This window comes from Homo sapiens, chromosome 17 (assembly GCF_000001405.40).
Source record: "Homo sapiens chromosome 17, GRCh38.p14 Primary Assembly".
In the NCBI taxonomy this organism is placed as follows: domain Eukaryota; kingdom Metazoa; phylum Chordata; class Mammalia; order Primates; family Hominidae; genus Homo; species Homo sapiens.
The window spans coordinates 44,512,055-44,535,781 of record NC_000017.11 but is presented as its reverse complement, the minus strand read 5'-3'; the positions used below and the strand labels follow the sequence as shown (position 1 = coordinate 44,535,781).

General features: G+C 48.6%; 3 annotated features.

Moving 5' to 3' along the window:
* Positions 1,360–1,863: an enhancer, noted in NCBI's record as "H3K27ac-H3K4me1 hESC enhancer chr17:42611287-42611790 (GRCh37/hg19 assembly coordinates)". NCBI's record gives its function as "activates a minimal SCP1, AML or CMV promoter by ChIP-STARR-seq in primed H9 embryonic stem cells {active_cell/tissue: H9 hESC(primed)}" and the evidence as "EXISTENCE:reporter gene assay evidence [ECO:0000049][PMID:30033119]".
* Positions 1,864–2,368: an enhancer, noted in NCBI's record as "H3K27ac-H3K4me1 hESC enhancer chr17:42610782-42611286 (GRCh37/hg19 assembly coordinates)". NCBI's record gives its function as "activates a minimal SCP1, AML or CMV promoter by ChIP-STARR-seq in primed H9 embryonic stem cells {active_cell/tissue: H9 hESC(primed)}" and the evidence as "EXISTENCE:reporter gene assay evidence [ECO:0000049][PMID:30033119]".
* Positions 12,289–12,348: a silencer, noted in NCBI's record as "silent region_8595". NCBI's record gives its function as "represses an Ori minimal core promoter by ATAC-STARR-seq in GM12878 lymphoblastoid cells {active_cell/tissue: GM12878}" and the evidence as "EXISTENCE:reporter gene assay evidence [ECO:0000049][PMID:35858748]".

The window sequence follows — 23,727 nt, the reverse complement described above, 5'->3', positions numbered from 1 at the left end:
TCAACCTCCTGGACTCAGGCGATCCTCCCCCGCCCTCAGTCCCCACAAGTAGCTGGGATTGCAGGTGTGTGCCACCATGCCCAGCTAATTTTTGTATTTTTTGTAGACACAGGGTTTCACCATGTTGCACCGGCTGGTCTCGAACTCCTGAGTTTAAGCGATCCGCCCGCTTGGCCTCCCGAAGTGTTGGGATTACAGGCATGAGCCATCGTGTCTGGCTAAAATTAATTTTAATAATATATCTTATTTAACCCAATAGATCCAAAATACTATCATTTCCACGTGTAATCAATATAAAAGTTGTTAATGCTATATTTTACATTTTTTTCAAAAAGTCCTTAGAATTCAGTGTGTATTTTGCACTTTCAGCACATCTCAACTTGGATTAGTCCTGTGCTCTACAGTCATGTGGCTGGTGGGTAGTATATTAGCACAGTTCTAGAGAACAGGGATGGAGCCCTGTGTCTATACTTACATTAAGTCCAGATAATGTCTTGTTTAAAAAGCCCAGTTGTTTGGCCAGGCATGGTGACTCACACCTGTAATCCCAGCACTTTGGTAAAAGGTGAAAGATTTATACGATCTGAAGAGAAACCAGACTATACTCCCAGCACTTTGGAAGGCCGAGGTGGGTGGATCAGCTGAGGTCAGAAGTTCGAGACCAGCCTGGCCAACATGGCAAAACCCCGTCTCTACTAAAAATACAAAAATTAGCTGGGGGTGGCTGGGCGCAGTGGCTTACGCCTGTAATCCCAGCACTTTGGGAGGCTGAGGCGGGCAGATCACCTGAGGTCAGGAGTTCGAGACCAGCCTGGCCAACACGGTGAAACCCTGTCTCTACTAAAAATACAAAAAAATTGCCAGGCATGTGGTGGGCACCTGCAGTCCCAGCTACTCAGGAGCCTGAGGCAGGAGAATCGCTGGAACCCGGGAGGCAGAGGTTGCAGTGCGCTGAGACTGCACCATTGCACTCCAGCCTAGGCAACAGAGTGAGGCTCTGTCTCAAAAAAAAAAAAAGCCCGATTGTTGGAATCAGACTGCTTGGGTTTGAACACTGGCTCAATCACTAGCTGTGTGACCTTAGACATGTCCCATAACCACTCTGTGCCTTAACTGTCTCCTCTGTAAAACAGGCCTAACAACTCTCATAGAATTGCTGTGAGGATTAGGTAAAGAACTTAGATCAATGCCTGGCATACAGTAGGTGCTCACTAAAGGTTGGCTGTCTTCATCTTTGCAGGATGCTAACCTTGGCCCAAAACAATCATTTATTTATTTATTTATTTATGACAGGGTCTCTCATTCTATCACCCAGGCTGAAGTGCAGTGGGACGATCTCAGCTCACGGCAACCTCCACCTCCTGGGCTCAAGAGGTCCTCCCACCTCAGCCTCCTTAATAGCTGAGACTATAGGCACATGCCACCATGCCTGGCTAATTTTTAAGTTGTCTGTAGAAAAGAGGGTCTCACCACATTGCCCAGGCTGGCCTGAAACTCTTGGGCTTAAGCCATCCTCCTGCCTCCCAAAGTGCTGGGATTACAGGCCTGAGCCACCATGCCAGGCCTCTTGCCCCAAACAATCGTTTGCTGGAAGATTAAATGAGAAAAATAGTGCTTTGCCCTCCAGCCGATTGAGGCAGAAGTGAGAGCTGGGTGGGGCCAGTGAGTTTTGTCTGGAGAAGTTGGAATAGGATGGAAGAGGCGCAGGCTGTGGGTGGCGGGAGGCTCTCTGTAGGGCGAGATGGAGGTTTACAGCTGGGCTGCCACGGAATTTGGAAACTAACATCAGCATAAGGCCTGGATGATTCATTGCTGCAGCGAAGCTTCTGGGGTTCAAAGAAGGAAGGTCTAGAGGGCTGGAGCCTGCAGAAAACGCTTCAAGGAGCAGCGTGAGGTTTGAAAAGCCAGCGAGCAGCGGGTGATGTGGAGCTCCAAGCTCATTGCTTGGAGAAAAGGGCTGGTTGGGACAAAGGGTCTGATTGGAGTCAGGCCCGCTGCCTCTGGCGGGTGGCCTCCCTCGCTAGCGGTAGGCCTCGCGGGAGAGGGGAGCATCTGAGGATTGCATTTTAGGGCCACAGCGCCCTCTGCTGGACATGGGGACCTGGGGCAGCAGCACGAGTGGGAGCAGGTGACAAAATGTGCGGGAAAAGGTCTGTGCCAGATAGGGTCCTTCCCATTCCCAAGCACCCCTAGGAGGATCACACGATTGGAATCCCTTAACAAGTATAGGAAGTTTATAGAAAATGAGCAAGTCTTGAAGTGTAGCCACCTATTGGTTCATCTTTATTTGCTCACAGTTGGTGTAGATGAACGTGTACTACATTGAGTTTATTTCATCTCGTAATCCTTTGGAGTTATAGGACTGTGGGTTAGAGGCAAATAATAATAACAGCTAATGCTTGTATAGCCCTATGATGTGCCAGGTGCAATTTTATATTATTTTACAGATGAGGAAACTGAGGCACAGAGAAATTTAAATCACCAGCATAACATGACATAGCTGACATAGAAGAGCCAGTATGACTGCAGAGTGTGTACACAAAACCACCACTTCCTACTATTTCTCTGAAATAATCAAGGCCATTTTCCCCTTTACATGAGGTATGGTAAGTCCTGGGTGCTCCATGAATCTAGACCTTCCTAGTTCTGTTCCTGATTCTCAGACCGCTGCTAATTTTTTTTTTTTTTTTTGAGACAGGGTCTTGCTTGATTGCCCAGGCTGAAGTGAAGTGGCATTATCTTGGCTCACTGCACCCTTGACCTCCCTGGCTCAAGCAATCCTCCTGCCTTAGCCACTCGAGTAGCTACAGGCGTGTGCCACCATGCCTGGCTAATTTGTGTATTTTTTTAGGGACAGGGTTTTGCCATGCTGTTCAGGCAGGTCTCGAACTCCTGAGCTCAAGCAATCTGCCTGCCTCAGCCTCCCAAAGTGCTGAGATTACAGGCATGAGCCACAGCTCCTGGCTTAAAGAATTTTTTTTTTTTTTAAGTCAGGGCTGGCTGGGCGCAGTGGCTCACGCCTGTAATTCCAACACTTTGGGAGGCCAAGGCGGGCAGATCACTTGAGGTCAGGAGTTCGAAACCAGCCTGGCCAACATGGTGAAACCCCGTCTCTACTAAAAATACAAAAAAATTCGCTGGGCGTGGTGGCATGTGCTTGTAATCCCAGCTACTCAGGAAGCCAAGGAAGGAGAACTGCTGGAACCTGGAAGGCTGAGGTTGCAGTGAGCCAAGATCGCACCACTGCACTCCAGCCTGGGTGACAGAGCAAGCCTCCATCTCAAAAAAAAAGTCAGGGTTGACATTTATTGGTTTGTCATGCATGTCGGGGAGAAAAAGCCATCTCTTTTCTTCACCCATCACAAGGTTCATAGCTGACACCACTATAATAAAAGACAGATTAACAAAATAAAAGCATAACAAATTTACTTAACCAAAGTCTTATGTGATATAGGAGGCTTCAGAAATGAAGACCAAAGACCTAGGGAAAATAGTATATTTTTATGCTGAGTCTGAAGAAAGAAATGGATAGCTGTGGAAAAACATGATTAGAGGAAAAGGGGTATGATCTGATGGAAATAAACTGGGAGAGAACTCAGGAAGACCTATCTTTTCAGGTTCTTTTTTTTTTTTTTCCCGAGACGGAGTCTTGCTCTGTCACCCAGGCTGGAGTGCAGTGGCGTGATCTCGGCTCACTGCAACCTCCACCTCCCGGGTTGAAGCAATTCTCTTGCCTCAGCCTCCTGAGTAGCTGGGATTACAAGCACCCGCCACCACACCCAGCTAATTTCTGTATTTTAAGTAGAGACGGGGTTTTACCATGATGCCCAGGCTGGTCTTCAACTCCTGACCTCATGATCTGCCCACCTCAGCCTCCCAAAGTGCTGGGATTACAGGCATGAGCCACCGTGCCCAGCTTTTCAGGTTCTTTTTGTGTGCGTGTGCCTCTATATGACTTTCCTTCAACCTCCTCCCCCACCATTCCCCAGGTATGGTGCAGAACATCTGTCGCATGTGGGTCTTATGACCTAATTTCAGAGGAGATAGGTCAGAGAATTATTTTATAGATAGTGCTCACACAGAAAGGCCAGAGAAGGTCAGTGTGACCTCTGGAGGCTGAGGTGGGAGGATCGCTTGGACCTAGAAGAGTGATCGCCAAGGTACCATGTTTTGGGGTACTGTGTCCTGCACCCTGTCAGGAACTAGATATGTGGCATGCACTGTGCCGAGCACACTGTTGGATTGTCTCACTTAAGCCCAAGAATGGCCCTGTGAGACGACTATTATTATTTTCCTTCTTTGACTAATGGAGAAGTGTCCAGGCATGGCTTAGCTGGGTTCTCCACCCAAGGACTTGTGAGGCTGCATTCAAGGTGTTGGCTAGACCATGGTCTCATCTGGAGCTTTGACTGGAAAATGTGCTTCCAAATTCATTCAAGTTGTTGGCAGAATTCATTTCCTCATGGGTACAGGACCAAGGGTTCCAGCTTCTTGCTGGGTGTTAACTGAAAGTGAATCCTTTCCACGTGGGCTTTCCCAAGGTATCAGTCGGGGTCCTTCAGAGAAACAGTAGGATGCAAACATACAAACACAGCAAGACATTTATTCCAAGGAACTGGCTTATGCAACTGTAGGGGCCCGCAAGTCTGAAATCCACAGGAGACTGGCAGACTGGAAACTCTCAGGCAGGAGCTGATGCTGGAGTCTTGTGGCAGAACTTCCTCTTCCCTTTCTTAGGGAAGCTTTAGTTTTGTTCTTTAGTCCTTTCAACTGATTGGATGAGGCCCATCCCCGTAGTCGAGAATAATCTTTTTTTTTTTTTTTTTTTGAGACAGAGTCTCGTTCTGTTACCCAGGCTGGAATGCATTGGTGTGATCACGGCTCACTGCAGCCTTGACCTCCTGGGCTTAATTGATCCTCCTGCCTCAGCCTCCTGAGTAGCTGGGACTACAGGTGCACACCACCACATTTAGCTAACTTTTGTATTTTTTGCAGAGATGAGGTTTTGCCGTGTTGCCCAGGCTGGTCTTGAACTCCTGCGCTCAAGGCATCCTCCCACCTCGGCTCCCAGCTGAGATTACAAGTGTGAGCCACTGCACCCAGCCTGTTGAAAATAATCTTTATTTATGGTCAACTGATTGTGGCTATTAACCACATCTATAAAATACCATCACAGCAACACCTAGATTAGTGTTTGATAGAATAATTGGGACCTACAGCCTAGCCAGGTTGATGCATGAAACTAACCATCACACCCAACCTGGCTGCTCGCTTCACTAAGCCAGCAAGGAGAGTCTCTAGAGTGAGTTGGCCAGCAAGGAGTCTTATAAAATGTAATGAAATCGAGTGACATCTCATCCCTTTTGCCATATTCTATTGGTTAGAAGCAAGTCATGGAGCCAGGCACAGTGGCGGCATGTGCCTATAATCCCAGTTACTTGGGAGGCGGAGACAGGAGGACCGCTTGAACTCAGGAGTTCAGGAGTTCAAGACTAGCCTGGGCAAAATAGTGAGACCCCCCATCTCTTTTTAACAAAAAAAAAAAAAAAAAAGCAGCAAGTCATGGGTCCCACCCACAATCAAGGGAGGGGATTTCATGATGGTGGTGAATGCCAGAAGGTAGAAACATCTGTCCACCACAGAAGCTAAGGTTCAGGGAGCTTAGGAAGAGGCCTAGGGTCACGGTGGTGGTAAAACCGGTGGCCTGTTAATGGCCCTGCTGGAAGAGGCCCCTGTCCTGTTCCCTGCTGGTTGCACTTCCTTATGCTGACTCAGGTGTGTGCTGAGGTTCCTGGCTCTCTCCCACACTCCTTAGACAACTCAGCCTTTCCTAGGTTCCACTGTCACAGATAGGTGAGGTTTAAAGTTCGCTTACTTCCTTTACTTACCTTCCTCTTGGATCCTAGAACACTAACTTCATTACATCATTTATGTTGTACATTCTTTTTTTAACCTCACTGGACACCATTACTACTGTTTATGTAGTCAGTACTTGTTTAGATTCATCTACATATCTGTACTCTTCATTTCTTTTTAAAATTATTATTATGGTTATTATTATTTTGAGACGGAGTCTCACTCTGTCACCAGGCTGGAGTGCAGTGGCGCAATCTTAGCTCACTGCAACCTCTGCCTCCCAGGTTCAAGTGATTCTCCTGCCTCAGCCTCCCGAGTAACTTGGACTACAGGTGTGCGCCACCAGGCCCAGCTAATTTTTGTATTTTTAGTAGAGATGGAGTTTCACCATGTTGGCCAGGATGGTCTCAATCTCTTGACCTCATGATCCCCCCGCCTTGGCCTCCCAAAGTGCTGGGATTACAGGTGTGACCACCATGCCCGGCCTTAAAATTATTTTTTTTATTGTGATGTAATTCACCATTTTAGGCTGGGCATGGTGGCTTACACCTGTAATCCCAGCACGGAGAGGCCAAGGTGGGAGGATTACTTGAGATCAGGAGTTCGAGACCAGCCTGGCCAACAAAGTGAAACCTTGTCTCTACTAAAAATACAAAAAAAAAAAAAAAAAATTAGCTGGGCATAGTGGTGGACACCTGTAATCCCAGTGTGTCTGGAATTGGTGGGTTCTTGGTCTCACTGACTTCAAGAATGAAGCCGCGGACCCTCACGGTGAGTGTTACAGCTCTTAAGGTGGCACGTCTGGAGTTTGTTCCTTCTGATGTTCGGATGTGTTAGGAGTTTCTTCCTTCTGGTGGGTTTGTGGTCTCGCTGGCTCAGGAGTGAAGCTGCAGACCTTCCCGGTGAGTGTTACAGCTCTTAAGGCAGCGCGTCTGGGTTGTTCGTTCCTCCCGGTGGGCTCGTGGTCTCGCTGGCTTCAGGAGTGAAGCTGCAGACCTTTGCAGTGAGTGTTACAGCTCATAAAAGCAGTGTGGACCCAAAGAGTGAGCAGTAGCAAGATTTATTGCAAAAATCAAAAGAACAAAGCTTCCACAGTGTGGAACAGGACCCAAGTGGGTTGCCACTCTTGGCTCGGGCAGCCTGCTTTTATTCTCTTATCTGGCCCCACCCATGTCCTGCTGATTGGTAGAGCTGAGTGGTCTGTTTTGACAGGGCACTGATTGGTGCGTTTACAATCCCTGAGCTAGATACAAAGGTTCTCCACGTCCCTATCAGATTAGTTAGATACGGAGTATGACACAAAGGTTCTCCAAGGCCCCACCAGAGCAGCTAGATACAGAGTGTCAACTGGTGCACTCACAAACCCTGAGCTAGACACAGGGTGCTGATTGGTGTGCTTACAAACCTTGAGCTAGATACAGAGTGCCGATTGGTGTATTTACAATCCCTGAGCTAGACGTAAAGATTCTCCACGTCCCCACCAGACTCAGGAGCCCAGCTAGCTTCACCCAGTGGATCCTGCACCGGGGCTGCAGGTGGAGCTGCCTGCCAGTCCCGCGCCGTGCGCTCCCACTCGTCAGCCCTTGGGTGGTCGATGGGACTGGGCATGGTGGAGCAGGGAGTGGCACTCGTCGGGGAGGCTCGGGCGCACAGGAGCCCATGGAGGGGGTGGGAGGCTCAGACATGGTGGGCTGCAGGTCCCGAGCCCTGCCCCGCGGGAAGGCAGCTAAGGCCGGGTGAGAAATCGAGCCCAGGGCCGGTGAGCTGGCACTGCTTGGGGACCAAGTACAGCCTCCGTAGCCGCTGGCCCGGGTGCTAAACCCCTCATTGCCCCGGGCCGGCAGGGCCGGCAGGGCCGGCCGGCTGCTCCGAGTGCAGGGCCCACCAAGCCCACGCCCACCCGGACATCCAGCTGGCCTGCAAGCACGGCACCCAGCCCCGGTTCCCGCTCGCGCCTCTCCCTCCACACCTCCCTGCAAGCTGAGGGAACTGGCTCTGGCCTTGGCCAGCCCAGAAAGGGGCTCCCACAGTGCAGCGGTGGGCTGAAGGGCTCCTCAAGTGCCGCCAAAGTGGGAGCCCAGGCAGAGGAGGCGCCGAGAGCAAGCGAGGGCTGTGAGGACGGCCAGCACGCTGTCACCTCTCACCAGCTACTTGGGAGGCTGATGCAGTAGAATTGCTTGAACCCAGAGGCAGAGCTTGCATTGAGCTGAGATCACACCACTGTACTCCAGCCTGGGCAACAGAGCAAGACTCCATCTCAAAATAATAATAATAATAATAATAATAATAATAATAATATTCACCATTTGAAGTGTACGATTCAGTGGCTTTTAGTATATTGACAAGGTTGTACAACCATTACCACTATCTAATTCCGTAACATTTTTATCACTCTCAAAAGAAATCCTGTACCTATTATTTGCCATTCCTCCCTCCTCCCCCCCTCTCTGGCAACCACAAGTGTACCTTCTGTTTCTGTGGATTTGCCTACTCTGGACATTTCACATAAATGGAACATGTAATATGTGGCCTTTTGTGTCTGGATTCTTTCACTTAATATAATGTTTTCAAAGTCCATCCATGTCATAACATGTATCAACACTTCATTCCTCTTTATGGCTGTATAATATTCCGTTGTATGGATATACCACATTTTGTTTATCCATTCATCTGTTGATGGACATTGAGTTGCTTCCACTTTTTGGCTATTATGAATCATACTGCCATGAACATTTGTGTACAAATCCTCATCCCTTCTTGCATCTCAGACCTTCCATCTGGGATCCCTTTCCTTCTGCCTGAATTGCATCCTTTAGAATTTTTTTCATGAGGCACTTCAGTGAGGCTGATAGCAAACTGTTTTAGTTTTTACTTGTTTGAAAATTCAGTCTTGGCTGGGTGTGGTGGCTCACACCTGTAATAACAGCACTTTGGGAGGCCGAGGCAGGTGGATCACCTGAGGGTCAGGAGTTCGAGACCAGACTGATCAACATGGTGAAACTCCGTCTCTACAAAAATTAGCTGGGCGTGGTGGTGGGTGCCTGTAATCCCAGCTACTTGGGAGGCTGGGGCAGGAGTAGGCTGCCCCACTTGAACCCGGGAGGCAGAGGTTACGGTGAGCTGAGATCATGTCATTGCACTCCAGCTTGGGTGACAGAGAAAGACTCCATCTCAAAATAAAAAAGAAAGAAAGAAAAGAAAAGAACATTTACTCTTGAATTCTAGGTTGGAAGTTATTTTCTTTCAGTATGTTCAAGATATCATTCTACTGGCTTATGGCTTCCATTATTGCTGTTGTTGAGAAGGCTGCTCTTAAGATTTTCTTTCTATATTCAGGCCAGGCGCAGTGGCTCATGCCACCTAGCACTTTGGGAGGCCATGGTGGGTAGATCACTCGAGGTCAGGAGTCAAGACCAGCCTGGCCAACACAGTGAAACCCCGTGACTACTAAAAATACAAAAATTAGCTGGATGTGGTGGTGGGCACCTGTAATCCCAGCTACTCGGGATGCTGAGGCAGGAGAATCTCTTGAACCTGAAGGCAGAGGTTGCAGTGAGCTGAGATCATGAGCTGAGATCACGCCACTGCACTCCAACCTGGGTGATGGAGTGAGACTTTCTCTCAAAATAAAATTTTTTTTCTTTCTGTATTCAGAATTCTGACATTTCATTGTGATGTATCTGCATGTAGATTCTATTTTATTTATCCTGCTTAGAATTCTTCACGCTTCCAGAACTTGTGGATTGATGCTCCATCAGAATTGGGAAATTCTCAGCCATTATCTTTTCAAATCTTCACCTTGCCACATTCTCTTGTTCTTTCCTTTAAAAAAAAAGTATTTTAAATAAAATAAAATGGGGTCTTGCTGTTTTGCCCAGGCTGGGTTCAAAATCCTGGCTCAAGCAATACTCACATAGTGGGATGAAAGGTATGCATGCACCACCATGCCTGGCTTCTTTTTTTTTTTTTCCTTCTAGAATTCTGATTAAACGATATTAGATTCTTTCATTGTATCCTCCATGTGTCTCAAACTCTTCTTTTTGTCCCTTTTCTGCATTCTGGGTAATTTCTTCTGCTCTGTCTTCCAATGCCTCTCTGGGATCCCACTTTCCTTTAAGTTTTGGCCTGGAAATTCATCTCTCTTGTCAAATATCTGTAATATTGCTAAGGATTTTTTTTTTTTAATTGATCATTCTTGGGTGTTTCTCGCAGAGGGGGATTTGGCAGGGTCACAGGACAATAGTGGAGGGAACGTCAGCAGAAAAACAAGTGAACAAAGGTCTCTGGTTTTCCTAGGCAGAGGACCCTGCGGCCTTCCACAGTGTTTGTGTCCCTGGGTACTTGAGATTAGGGAGTGGTGATGACTCTTAAGGAGCATGCTGCCTTCAAGCATCTGTTTAACAAAGCACATCTTGCACCGCCCTTAATCCATTCAACCCTGAGTGGATACAGCACATGTTTCAGAGAGCACAGGGTTGGGGGTAAGGTCACAGATCAACAGGATCCCAAGGCAGAAGAATTTTTCTTAGTACAGAACAAAATGAAAAGTCTCCCATGTCTACCTCTTTCTACACAGACACAGCAACCACCCGATTTCTCAGTCTTTTCCCCACCTTTCCCCTTTCTATTCCACAAAACTGCCATTGTCATCATGGCCCGTTCTCAATGAGCTGTTGGGTACACCTCCCGGACGGGGTGGTGGCCGGGCAGAGGGACTCCTCACTTCCCAGTAGGGGCGGCCGGGCAGAGGCGCCCCTCATGTCCCAGACGGGGCGGCTGGCCGGGCGGGGGGCTGACCCCCCCACCTCCCTCCCGGACGGGGCGGCTGGCCGGGCAGGGGGCTGACCCCCCCACCTCCCTCCCGGACGGGGCGGCTGGCCGGGCAGAGGGGCTCCTCACTTCCCAGTAGGGGCGGCCGGGCAGAGGCGCCCCTCACCTCCCGGACGGGGCGGCTGGCCGGGCGGGGGGCTGACCCCCCCACCTCCCTCCCGGACGGAGCGGCTGGCCGGGCAGAGGGGCTCCTCACTTCCCAGTAGGGGCGGCCGGGCAGAGGCGCCCCTCACTTCCCGGACGGGGCGGCTGGCTGGGCGGGGGGCTGATCCCCCCACCTCCCTCCCGGACGAGGTGGCTGCTGGGCAGAGACGCTCCTCACTTCCCAGACGGGGTGGCTGCTGGGCGGAGGGGCTCCTCACTTCTCAGACGGGGCGGCTGCCGGGTGGAGGGACTCCTCACTTCTCAGACGGGGCGGTTGCCAGGCAGAGGGTCTCCTCACTTCTCAGACCATGGGTGGCCGGGCAGAGATGCTCCTCACTTCCCAGATGTGATGGCGGCCGGGAAGAGGCGCTCCTCACTTCCTAGATGGGATGGCGGCCGGGCAGAGACGCTCCTCACTCTCCAGACTGGGCAGCCAGGCAGAGGGGCTCCTCACATCCCAGATGATGGGCGGCCAGGCGGAGACGCTCCTCACTTCCCAGACGGGGTGGCGGCCAGGCAGAGGCTGCAATCTCGGCACTTTGGGAGGCCAAGGCAGGCTGCTGGGAGGTGGAGGTTGTAGCGAGCCAAGATCACGCCACTGCACTCCAGCCTGGGCACCATTGAGCACTGAGTGAACGAGACTCCGTCTGCAATCCCGGCACCTCGGGAGGCCGAGGCTGGCGGATCACTCGCGGTTAGGAGCTGGAGACCAGCCCGGCCAACACAGCGAAACCCCGTCTCCACCAAAAAAATACGAAAACCAGTCAGGCGTGGCGTCGCGCGCCTGCAATCGCAGGCACTGGGCAGGCTGAGGCAGGAGAATCAGGCAGGGAGGTTGCAGTGAGCCGAGATGGCAGCAGCACCGTCCAGCTTCAGCTCGGCATCAGAGGGAGACCGTGGAAAGAGAGGGAGAGGGAGACTGTGGAAAGAGAGGGAGAGGGAGACCGTGGGGAGAGGGAGAGGGAGAGGGAGAGGAGGATTTTTTTTTTAAAAAGCCTTTATCCAGCTTTTGCATTTGTTTTCAATGGGAAGGTTGGTCTGAATAACTTAGCCTATCATTACAGGAAATGGAAGTCCTACCATCCTCCTCACTCCCTCTTTTTCATGTATGTTCTCCTTTCCCTGATGATCCAAATTGGAGCCATTCTCCAGGGACTGTCTCCAAGCCCATCTCTTCCATCGGCCCTTCCCTGTCCTGCCCCTGTTGAGCTTTCCTGCCCCTAGAACTAGAACCGATTGTCCCCTACTCAGTGGCAGCACGTGGGGACCTCTCCTGGATTGTTCACTTATCAGATAGCTTAGGAATTGATGTATTGTCTTCCACAGTAGATGATCAGCTCTGTAGGTGATCAGGGAAGGCAGGAATAGCTCCCACCAGTAGCTCAAAATCATAGCAAATAAGAAGGGTTGGTGGAGATAAGAGAGATTTGAGTACAGTAAGTTTGAAGCAGTTTCTGGTGTCTGACCAGGTATTCGATGGTACAGGTTAAGACCCTCTGTCCCCAACGGCTTCTTTAAACCCCTATTGGCCCCAAGGGACCTTCTTCCTCGAACTGGAGGCTTCTGGGAGAGGGAGCTTGGTTCTGGAAACCCCAGGTCAGACAGCACCAGGGGGCGGTAGAGGCTTAAAGGCAACTGCATTGCCCTGGCAGGAGAGTAGGTGACTGCCCAAGCATTCCCATTGCAGCCCTGGGCCACGTTCACGTACTTGGGGGTCGAGCCGGAACCGAACAGAACTAGGCTTAGACCAATGTACCTGCTCCAAGTTGGACCTCTTTCGGTCCCCAGGACCTAAAACAAGATATGATGAATGACCTCCCTTCCATCCTGTCCTGTATCCCCTTGGGTCCCGTGCTAAGGTGGCGCCCCACTGAATTCCAGTTTCTGGACCAGGGAAATCCTTTCAATCCACTCTCCTAATCATTCTCAGCTAAAAAAAAAAAAAAGTTTTAATATATGATAGTGAGTGTCAATTAAGGTATAAAAAAAAAGAGAATGAGGATGGACTTGCCTTATTGTGGCGTGATCTCTGCTCTCTGCAGCCCCGACCTCAGGTGATCCTCCCACCTTAGGCTCCCTAGTAGCTGGAACTACAGGTGCTGCACCACCACCCTCGGCTAATATTTTTATATTTTTTGTAGAGACAAGGTTTCACTATGTTGCCCAGGCTGATCTCAAACTCCTGGACTCAAGTGATCCACCCTCCTTGGCCTCCCAAAGAGCTGGGATTACAGGCTTGAGCCACCAGGCCTGGCTGAAATTCTAATATATAACACAGGGGTTTGTTCAGTTAAGTGGGAAAAGAATAAAAATGATTTTACCATAGCTGGATTTCCAAATGGAAGAAAATAAAATTAGAGCTTTATCTTATACCATATGCAAAAATAAACTCCAGCTGGATCAAAAATTTAAATATAAAACTAAATGCATAAAATCTAATGAAAATCTAGAAGCCCGCATGTATGATGTATAAGAGTGGGAAAATATTAACCAAGATTGAAAATCGAGAAGCTACAACAGGAAAAAAAGGGTATAAATATTTCACTGTATAAAAGTTAAAACATTTTGGGGATGGAAAAACAGGACATAAATACAGGCATTAGGAAAATTTTCTTTTAAAAAGGAAAATAGTAGATTTAGAAATACGTTGTAATGCAGGTGGCAAGCCATGAGTTAACAGCTGTACTATACAAAAAGATCTTACAAGTTAACAAGAAAAAGACAAACACTTCACGGAAAAATGGTGAAGTCATGGATAGAGGATTCATGGAAACACAATTATTAAAAAAGACTCAGGCCTGTAATCCCAGCACTTTGGGAGGCCGAGGCAAGCAGATCACGAGGTCAGGAGATCCAGACCATCCTGGTTAACACAGTGAAACCCCGTCTCTAGTAAAAATACAAAAAGTTAGCCAGGCATGGGGACATGTGCCTGTAATCCCAGCTACTCGGGAGGCTGAGGCAGGGGAATCACTTGAACCCAGAAGGCTGAGGTTGCAGTGATCTGAGATTGCGCCACTGCACTCCAGCCTGGGCGACAGAGACTCTGTCTCAAACAACAACAACAACAAAGAAACACATATCTACTCTCTAACCGAGCAATCCTACTCTTAGAAATCTATCCCATGGAAATAAAACCAGCCATCCATAGGGATAGGTGTACAGTCTAAGGATGCTCAGTGTAGGATTAGTTAGTTGCAAAACACTGAAAACAGTAAATGCCCATCAGCGAATGGTTGAATAAATGGTTAACAGCCATTCAGTGAAATATTATTCAGTCTTTAAAAAGAAGGGAACTGAGGGCCAGGCACAGTGGCTCATTTCTGTAATCCCAGCACTTTGGGAGACCGAGGCAGGCGGATCACGAGGTCAGGAGTTTGAGACCAGCCTGGCCAATATGGTGAAACCCTGTCTCTACTAAAAATACAAAAATTAGCTGGGTGTGATGGTGCGTGCCTGTAGTCCCAGCTACTCCGGAGGCTGAGGCAGGAGAATTGCTTGAACCCGGGAGGTGGAGGTTGCAGTGAGCCAAGATCGCACCATTGCACTCCAGCCTGGGCCACAGAGCGAGACTCCGTCTCAAAAACAAAAACAAAAACAAAAAACAAAAAAGAAGGGAGCTGTAGAGCTGTAACAATTGTCTTGGAGGAATATTTAGGAGGTATTGTTGAGAAAGAAAAGCAAGAAGCAAAAAGTGTGAATAATGTGATCCTGTTTTTTGAAAACTAACAACAAATCCCCTATATTTCCTGTACACATATATATGTGTGTATATATATGACTATATGAGCAATAAAAAGTGAATGAATACAAACTGGGTAGTGGACATGGGTTACCTGGTTGGGAGAGAAGGAGAGGAAAAAAGAAGTTTAAAAACAAGATTAGGCCAGGCGCAGTGGCTCATTTCTGTAATCCTAGCACTTTGGGAGGCTGAGGCGGGCAGATCACGATGTCAAGAGATCGAGACCATCCTGGCCAACATGGTGAAACCCCGTCTCTACTGAAAATACAAGAATTAGCTGGACATGGTGGCACGCGCCTGTAGTCCCAGCTACTTGGGAGGCTGAGGCAGGAGAATCGCTTGAACATGGGAGTCAGAGGTTGCAGTGAGCCAAGATTATGCCACTGCACTCCAGCCTGGTGACAAAGCGAGACTCCGTCTCAAAAAAAAAAAAAAAAGAAGAAGACTAGGTTTGGTGTGGTGGCTAATGCCTGTAATCCTAGCATTTTGGAAGGCCAAGGTGGGCAGATTGCTTGAGCCCAGGAGTTTGAGACCAGCCTGAGCAACATGGTGAAACCCTGTCTCTACAAAAAACAAAAATAAAAAAATTAGCCGAGCATAGTGTCGTGTGCCTGTAGTCCCAGCTACTCAGGAGGCTGAGGTAGGAGGACCACTTGAGCCCAGGAGTTTGAAGCTGCAGTGAGCCATGATCGTGCCACTGCACTCGAGCCTGGGTGACAGAGGAAGACCCTGTCTCAAAAACAAACAAACAAAACACTGCTTTAAAAAGTTTGGAAGATAGAATAACACTTAATGTGTTTAGGTAAAATTGTTTGTACTGATATGTAGAAAAATCGTTTTAAAAGAATAAAATAGTAAAAAATCTAGTTCAGACCTTCATCACCTCTTATCAGTCTTCCCCTGTCAAGGAGAGTCAGACCTCAGTCCACACTGAACCCCTTACAGACTCTTTCCTGTCCCTACACCAGACCCATGGACATTGAAGATCATATCTAAATCAGGTCTGTTCCTCCAAAGTCTGAATGGTGCCAAGTGTCCGGGGCCAATCCCTGCTTAAATATTCAGTAAGTCTCTTGAGGTGATTGCTTCATCTCTCAGCCTGGAGAATCTTCAGAGGGAAGGTGGATGCCACAGCCCCTTGCCTCATAGAAATACATTTTTTTTTTTTGAGACAGGCTCTTGCTCTGTTGCCCAGACTGGAGTGCAGTGGCGGGATCGCCACTTGCTCACTGCAGCCTTGACCTCCCAGGCTCAAGTGATCCTCCCACCTCAGCCTCCTGAGTAGCTGGGGTTACAAGCACATGTCACCACCACACCCAGATAATTTTTTTTTTTTTTTGAGACGGAGTCTCACTCTGTCGCCAGGTTGGAGTGCAGTGGCACCATCTCAGCTCACTGCAACCTCCACCACCCAGCTTCAAGCAATTCTCCTGCCTCAGCCTCCTGAGTAGCTGGGACTACAGGCGTGCGCCACCACACCCGGCTAATTTTTTATTTTTAGTAGACACGGGGTTTCACCATGTTGGCCAGGTCTGGATCTCTAGACCTCGTGATCCACCCGCCTCAGCCTCCCAAAGTGCTGGAATTACAGGGGTGAGCCACTGCGCCCAGCCAATTTTTGTGTTTTTCGTAGAGATGGAGTTTCACCATGTTGCCCAGTCTAGTCTTGAACTCCTGGGCTCAAGTGATCTGCCTGCCTTGGCCTCCCAAACTGCTGGGATTACAGGTGTGGGCTCATAGAAATGCTTGTGGCCTCATAGAAATTCTTTTTTTTTTTTGAGATGGAGTCTTGCTCTGTCACCCAGGCTGGAGTGCAATGGTGCAGTAGTCTAGGCTCACTGCAACCTCCGCCTCCTGGGTTCAAGCAATTCTCCTGCCTCAGCCTCCCGAGTAGCTGGGACTACAGGTGCGTGCCACCACACCTGGCTAATTTTTGTACTTTTAGTAGAAACAGGGTTTCACTATGTTGACCAGGCTCGTCTCAAACCTCTGACCTCATGATCTGCCCACCTTGGCCTCCCAAAGTGCTGGGATTACAGGCGTGAGCCACTGCACCCTGCCTCATAGAAATTCTAGAAGCAGTCTGCCTCAAATGTTCATGGGCATCAGAATCATGGTTTGAGGGATGAGGATGGCATTCTGACTGGCAGGACTGGAGTGGAGCCCAATAATCAGTGTTATTTTTCAAACATTCCCATGTTATTCTGCTACCACTTTGAGAATCTCTTCTAAACACAGAACCACATAGACAGTTGATTTTTTCATATCCATTTAAACTCAGAGACATCTCAGATTTACCAAAATGCATTTTTTTTTTTTTTTAGAGACAGGGTCATGCCCTGTCACCCAGGTTGGATTACAGTGGCTTGATCACAGCTCGCTGCTGCCTCCAACTCCTGGGCTTAAGTGATGCCCCTGCCTCAGCATCTCTAGTAACTGGGACCACAGTTGTGTGCCCCCATGCCTGGCTAATTTTCTTTTTGAGACGGAGTCTCACTCTGTCGCCCAGGCTGGAGTGCAGTGGCGCGATCTCGGCTCACTGTAACCTCTGCCTCCCAGGTTTAAGCAATTCTCCTGCCTCAGCCTCCCGAGTAGCTGGGACTACAGGCATGTGCCACCATGTCCCACTAATTTTTTCCATTTTTTAGTAGAGATGAGGTTTCACTGTGTTAGCCAGGCTGGTCTCGATCTCCTGACCTCATGATCTGCCCACCTCGTCCTCCCAAAGTGCTGGGATTACAGGCGTGAGCCACTGCGCCCAGCCTAATTTTTTTTTTGAGACAGGATCTCACTCTGTTACCCAGGCTGGAGGGCAATGGCTTGAACATGGTTCACTGCAGCCTTGACCTCCTGGTCTGAAGCAATTCTCCTACCTCAGCCTCCTGAGTAGCTGAAACCAACGGTGCATGCCACCTTATCCAACTAACTTTTAAAGGAAAAAAAAATTCACCACTGGCCAGGCAGGACCCCCTGTGATAGGTAGCCAGGCTGCTAAGCTGTCTTAGAGGGTGTTTTTTAGCACATTCCTTCTTTTACTCATCAAATATTTATCACGTGCCTAGTCTGAATCAGCCCTGCTCTAGATCACATTGCTTGAGACAGTTTTTGAGACAGTGAGATCCTGTCTCAAAAAAAAAAAACATTAGCCGAGCATGTTGGCACACAATTGTAGTCCCAGTTACTAGAGAGGCTGAGGCAAGAGGATCACTTGAGCGCAGGAATTCGGGGCAGGAGTGAGCTAGATGTAGAGTCAGAGTCTCCACAAAAAGCAACTCTCCTGCCTTGCTCTCCCAAAGTGCTGAGATTACAGTCATGAGCCACCATACCCAGACAATTTTTTAAATTTTTTTGTAGAGAGGAGGGTCTCAACATTTTGCCCAGGCTGGTCTTGAACTCCTGGCCTCAGGTGATCCTTGCCCCGGCCTCCCAAAGTGCTGGGATTACAGGTGTGAGCCACCATGCCTGGCCAAAATGCAATTCTTGAAACCCTACCAAATTTGTCCCCCACCCACTCAACCTTACCAATCTCAGTAAATGACTCCAAATCCAGCCTGGTTCCTCACACCTGGAACCTGGAAGTCATTCTTAATTCTACCCTTTTCCTCATCCTCAATATCTAATCCATTATCTTCTTGCCAAGTTGTCTGCAAAATATACTTTAAACTTACCTTCTATTTCTGTTGCCACCGTCCATCACCTGTCATGGAAATTACTGTAACAGCATCTTCTCTGGTCTCCCACTTCCATTCTTGCACCCTTACAATCCATACTCCACACACAGGCAGTGGTGAGTCTCTTGAAAATGTAAATAAGATCAAATTGCTTCTCTTCTCTAAATCTGTCAAAGGTCTAACTCTCTCTCTCTCTCTCTTTTTTTTTTTTTGAGATGGAGTCTTGCTCTGTTGTCCAGGCTGGAGTACAGCGGCACGATCTCGGCTCACTGCAACCTCCACCTCCCGGGTTCAAGTGATTCTCCTGCCTCAGCCTCCCCAGTAGCTGGGATTACAGGCACACGCAACCACGCCCAGCTAATTTTTTTGTATTTTTAGTAGAGATGGAGTTTCACCATGTTGGCCAGGCTGGTCTTGAACTCCTAACCTCAAGTGATCTGCCCGCCTCAGCCTCCAAAAGTGCTGGGATTATAGGTGTGAGTCGCTGGGTCTGGCTAGCTCTAACTCCTTATAGTGACTTCAAGCCCCTCCTAGGTGAGCTGGCCCCTGCCTCCCTTTCCACTTCACCTCGAAATATTCTCCCCCAGCCCCTTCTTGCAGTGTCTCTAACCAGGACTGGCAACGTAATATGTGGGGCCCAGTGAAAAAGAAGTTGTGGGACCCTCCATCAAAAATTAGTAAGAATTTCGGCTGGGCGCGGTGGCTCACGCCTATAATCCTAATACTTTGGGAGGCCGACGTGGGTAGATAACTTGAGGTTAGGAGTTTGATACCAGACTGGCCAACACGGTGAAACCCCATCTCTACTAAAAATACAAAAATTAGCCGGATGTGGCAGTGTGTGCCTGTAGTCCCAGCTACTTGGAAGGCTGAGGTGGGAGAATTGCTTGAACCCAGGAGGCGGAGGTTACAGTGAGCCAAGATCGCACCACTGTACTCCACCCTGAGCAACAGAGTGAGACTCTGTCTCAAAAAACAAACAAACAAAAATTACTAAGAATTTCAAGATGGCTGTGGCAGAGCATGAAACCAAGCGAAGGGCTCTTCTGAGTGTGGAGCCTGTACAAGTGGCCCTGCCTCTCGCCTGGCCTGGGCTGCACCTCAGGAGCACTGTGCCCCAGTTTATAACATCGAGCTGTTGGCTCAATTGTCACCTGGTCCAGAGGTCTCACCTGACCATTGCTTAATTTAAAGCAGCCTCACACAGTTCCTCTATGTCACATCACCCCACGTTATCTTCTCAGCACCTCGCCCTGCTTGAAATGATCTCATTTGTTTACTTGTATATTGTCTGTCTCCTTACCTGGCTCCCCCAGCCAGAACATAAACTCAATGAGAACAAGAACCTTTCCTGCCATGCTCACCTCTGGCGTCTTCAGCATCTAGAGCAGGGCTGATTCGGACTAGGCACATGATAAATATTTGATGAATAAAGGAAGGAGTGTGCTAAAGAATGTACTCCAAGGCACCAGTCTAGCATACTGGCTATCTACCACAGGGGGTCCTGTATGGCCAGTGGTGATTTTTTTTTTCCTTTGAAAAATGCTCCTGGCCAGGCGCAGTGGCTCACGCCTGTAATCCGAGCACTTTGGGAAACCGAGGTGGGTGGATCATTTGAGTTTAGGAGCTCTGGGCCAGCCTGGCCAGCATGGGGAAACCCTGTCTCTACTAAAAATACAAAAATTAGCTGGGCATGGTGGCATGTGCCTGTAATCCCAGCTACTCGGGAGGCTGAGGCAGGAGAATCACTTGAACCCAGGAGGCAGAGGTTGCAGTGAGCTGAGATCGCACCACTGCACTCCAGCACAGGTGACAGAGTGAGACTCCATCAAACAAAGCAAAACAACAACAAAAATGGATTATAAAATCAGGAAAAAAAAGGCCGAGCGCAGTGGCTCACGACCTGTAATCCCAGCACAGGGAGGCCGAGGCGGATTGCCTGAGCTCAGGTGTTCGAGACCAGCCTGGGCAACACGGTGAAACTCCGTCTCTACTAAAATACAAAAAATTAGCCGGGCGTGGTGGCGGGCGCCTGTAGTCCCAGCTACTTGAGAGGCTGAGGCAGGAGAGCCGCTTGAACCCGGGAGGCGGAACTTGCAGTGAGCTGAGATCGTGCCACTGCACTCCAGCCTGGGCGACAGAGCGAGACTCCGTCCCAAAAAAAAAAAAAATTCAGGAAAAAAATCTATGAATCCACAGTGATATTCTAAAATGGTAGGCGGCAAGGAGAGAAAGTTCATCTTTATAGCATTCCTACTAATAATTGTAGAAGAAGTAATAGAATTAAAGAATCATGATTTTGTAACCATTGTTTGTAATAAACAATTCAGGCAAGGACTATCAGTGGATAATAAACTTTGTAATCCCAGCACATTGGGAGGTCAAGGCAGGAGGATCACTTGAATCTAGGAGTTTGAGACCAGCCCAGGCAACATAGCGAGACCCTGTCTCTACAAAAAATAAAAATAAAAATTGGCTTTGCATGGTGGCAGGCACCTAGAGTCCTAGCTACTTGGGAGGCTGAAGTGGGAGGATTGCCTGAGACCAGGAGTTCAAGGCTACAGTGAACTGATGGTGCCACTGCACTCTAGCCTGAGCAACAGAGTGAAACCCTGTCTTTAAAACAAACAATTGGCCGGGTACGGTGGCTCACAACTGTAATCCCAGCATTTTGGGAGGCCAAGAAAGGCAGATCACTTGAGGTTGGGAGTTCGAGAGCAGCCTGACCAACATGGTGAAACCCCGTATCTACTAAAAATACAAAAAAATTAGCTGGGCATGGTGATGCATGCCTGTAGTCCAACCTACTCGGGAGGCTGAGACAGGAAAATTGCTTGAACCTGGGAGGCGGAGGTTGCAGTGAGCCAAGATCACACCACTGCACTCTAGCCTGGGTGACAGAGTGAGACTCCATCTCAAAAACAATAAATAAATATAAATAAATAAATAAAACAAACAATCAAAACTCCACAAAAACCCATGGAGTGAAAGGCTGTTGAAAAATAAGATATTCACATGGTCTCAAAGTATCATCTTTTACAAGGGAGCAGTCTGGCTGACAATACATTAACCAATAAATGAAACTTGACATCACTAATAATGAGGACAGTTGATACCATGTGCCTCCTCATGTTGTGCTCTGAGAAGATCACAGCACCACCTATTTAGTATTCTTGCAAAATGTTTCAACTGAATCTAGTCATAAGCCAGACAAATCCCAATTGAAGGGCATGTTCAATGCAACAAAAGACAACCAAAGTCAATGGAACTGCTGTAGATGAAAAAATAGTGAAGAAACATGACAGCTAAAAACAATGCCTGATCATTGATTGGATCCTGGATCAAAAGCAAGTAGCTCTAAAGACCAAAAATGAGGTACTTTGAATATGGACCCTATTTTTATTTATTTATTTATTCATTTATTTATTTTTGAGACAGAGTGTTGCTCTGTCGCCCAGGCTGGAGTGCAGTGGCAGGAGCTTGGCTCACTGCAACCTCCATCTCCCGGGTTCAAGCGATTCTCCTGCCTTAGCCTCCTGAGTAGCTGGGATTACAGGTTCCTGCCACCACGCCTGGCTAATTTTTTTTTTTTTTTTTTTTTGAGATGGAGTCTCGCTCTGTCGCCCAGGCTGGAGTGCAGTGGAGCGATCTCGGCTCACTGCAAGCTCCACTTCCCGGGTTCAAGCGATTCTCCTGCCCCAGCCTCCTGAGTAGCTGGGACTACAGGCGTCTACCACCACACCTGGCTAATTTTTTGTATTTTTAGTAGAGATGGGGTTTCACTGGGTTAGCCAGGATGGTCTCGATCTCCTGACCTCATGATCTGCCCTCATCGGCCTCCCAAAGTGCTGGGATTACAGGCGTGAGCCACTGCGCCCGGCCAATTTTTGTATTTTTAGTACAGACAGGGTTTTGCCATGTTGACCAGGCTGGTCTCAAACTCCTGACCTCAAGTGATCCTCCTGCCTCAGCCTCCCGAAGTGCTGGGATTACAGGCGTGAGCCCTCACACCTGGCTGAATATGGACTTTATATTAGATAACATTATTGTATGAACATTGAACATTACATTTCTTTTTTTTTTTTTTTTTTTTTGAGACGGAGTCTCGCTCTGTTGCCCAGGCCGGACTGCGGACTGCAGTGGCGCAATCTCGGCTCACTGCAAGCTCCGCTTCCCGGGTTCACGCCATTCTCCTGCCTCAGCCTCCCTAGTAGCTGGGATTACAGGCATTCACCACCACGCCCGGCTAATTTTGTATTTTTAGTAGAAACGGGGTTTCTCCATGTTGGTCAGGCTGGTCTTGAACGCCCGACCTGAGGTGATCCGCCGGCCTCAGCCTCCCAAAGTGCTGGGATTACAGGCGTGAGCCACCGTGCCCGGTCTGCAACTTACTTTCAAATGGTTCAGAAAACAAAAACAAAAACAAAAACAAAAACAAAAAACCCAAAACATAAACTTATATATACAGAGAGGAAGAGAGAGAGAGAGAGAGAGAAATTTTGCAATTTAAGAATTGAATAATCGGCTGGGCGCGGTGGCTCACGGCTGTAATCCCAGCACTTCGGGAGGCTGAGGTGGTGGATCACGAGGTCAGGAGATCCAGACCATCCTGGCTAACACGGTGAAACCCCGTCTCTACTAAAAATACAAAAAATTAGCTGGGCATGGTGGCGGGTACCTGTAGTCCCAGCTACTCGGGAGGCTGAGGCAGGAGAATGGCGTGAACCCGGGAGGCGGAGCTTGCAGTGATCGGAGATCCTGACGCTGCACTCCAGCCTGGGGCGACAGAGCGAGACAACGTCTTAAAAAAAAAAAAAAGGTTAAAATGGGCCGGGCGCGATGGCTCACGCCTGTAATCCCAGCACTTTGGGAGGTGGAGGCCGGCAGATCACCTGAGGTCTGGAGTTTGAGACCAGCCTGACCAGTATGATGAAACTCCGTCTCTACTAAAAATACAAAAATTAGCCGGGCGTGGTGCCATGCGCCTGTAATCCCAACTACTCAGGAGGCTGATACAGAAGAATCGCTTGAACCTGGGAGGTGGAGGTTGTGGTGAGCCGAAATCACACCATTGCACTCCAGCCTGGGAAACAAGAGCAAAACTCCGCCTCAAAAGAAAAAAAAAAGGTTAAAATGGCAGATTTCGTTATGTATATTTTACAACAAGCTTTTGAACATTAAACAGAGCGTGTGGGGGCTGCATGCTGTTATTTTCCAGATATGCTGAGGAGGAAACCTGACCAGCTGCTAAGGGACTTGACCACAGTCATAAAATCTGGCTCTGTCTTCCATAGCTACAGGAGCCAGGACAAGGTTTTTCTTTCTTTCTTTTTTTTTTTTTTTTTTGGTTTTAAGGAGCGGAGAGTTTAATTGGCAAGAAGGAAGGGAGAAGACAGAAGGAAGAAGCTCCCCCATACAGAGACAGAGGGAATGAGGCTCCAACGTGGAAAGAGGAGGTCCCTACCTGCCAGGGATACCAGCCAG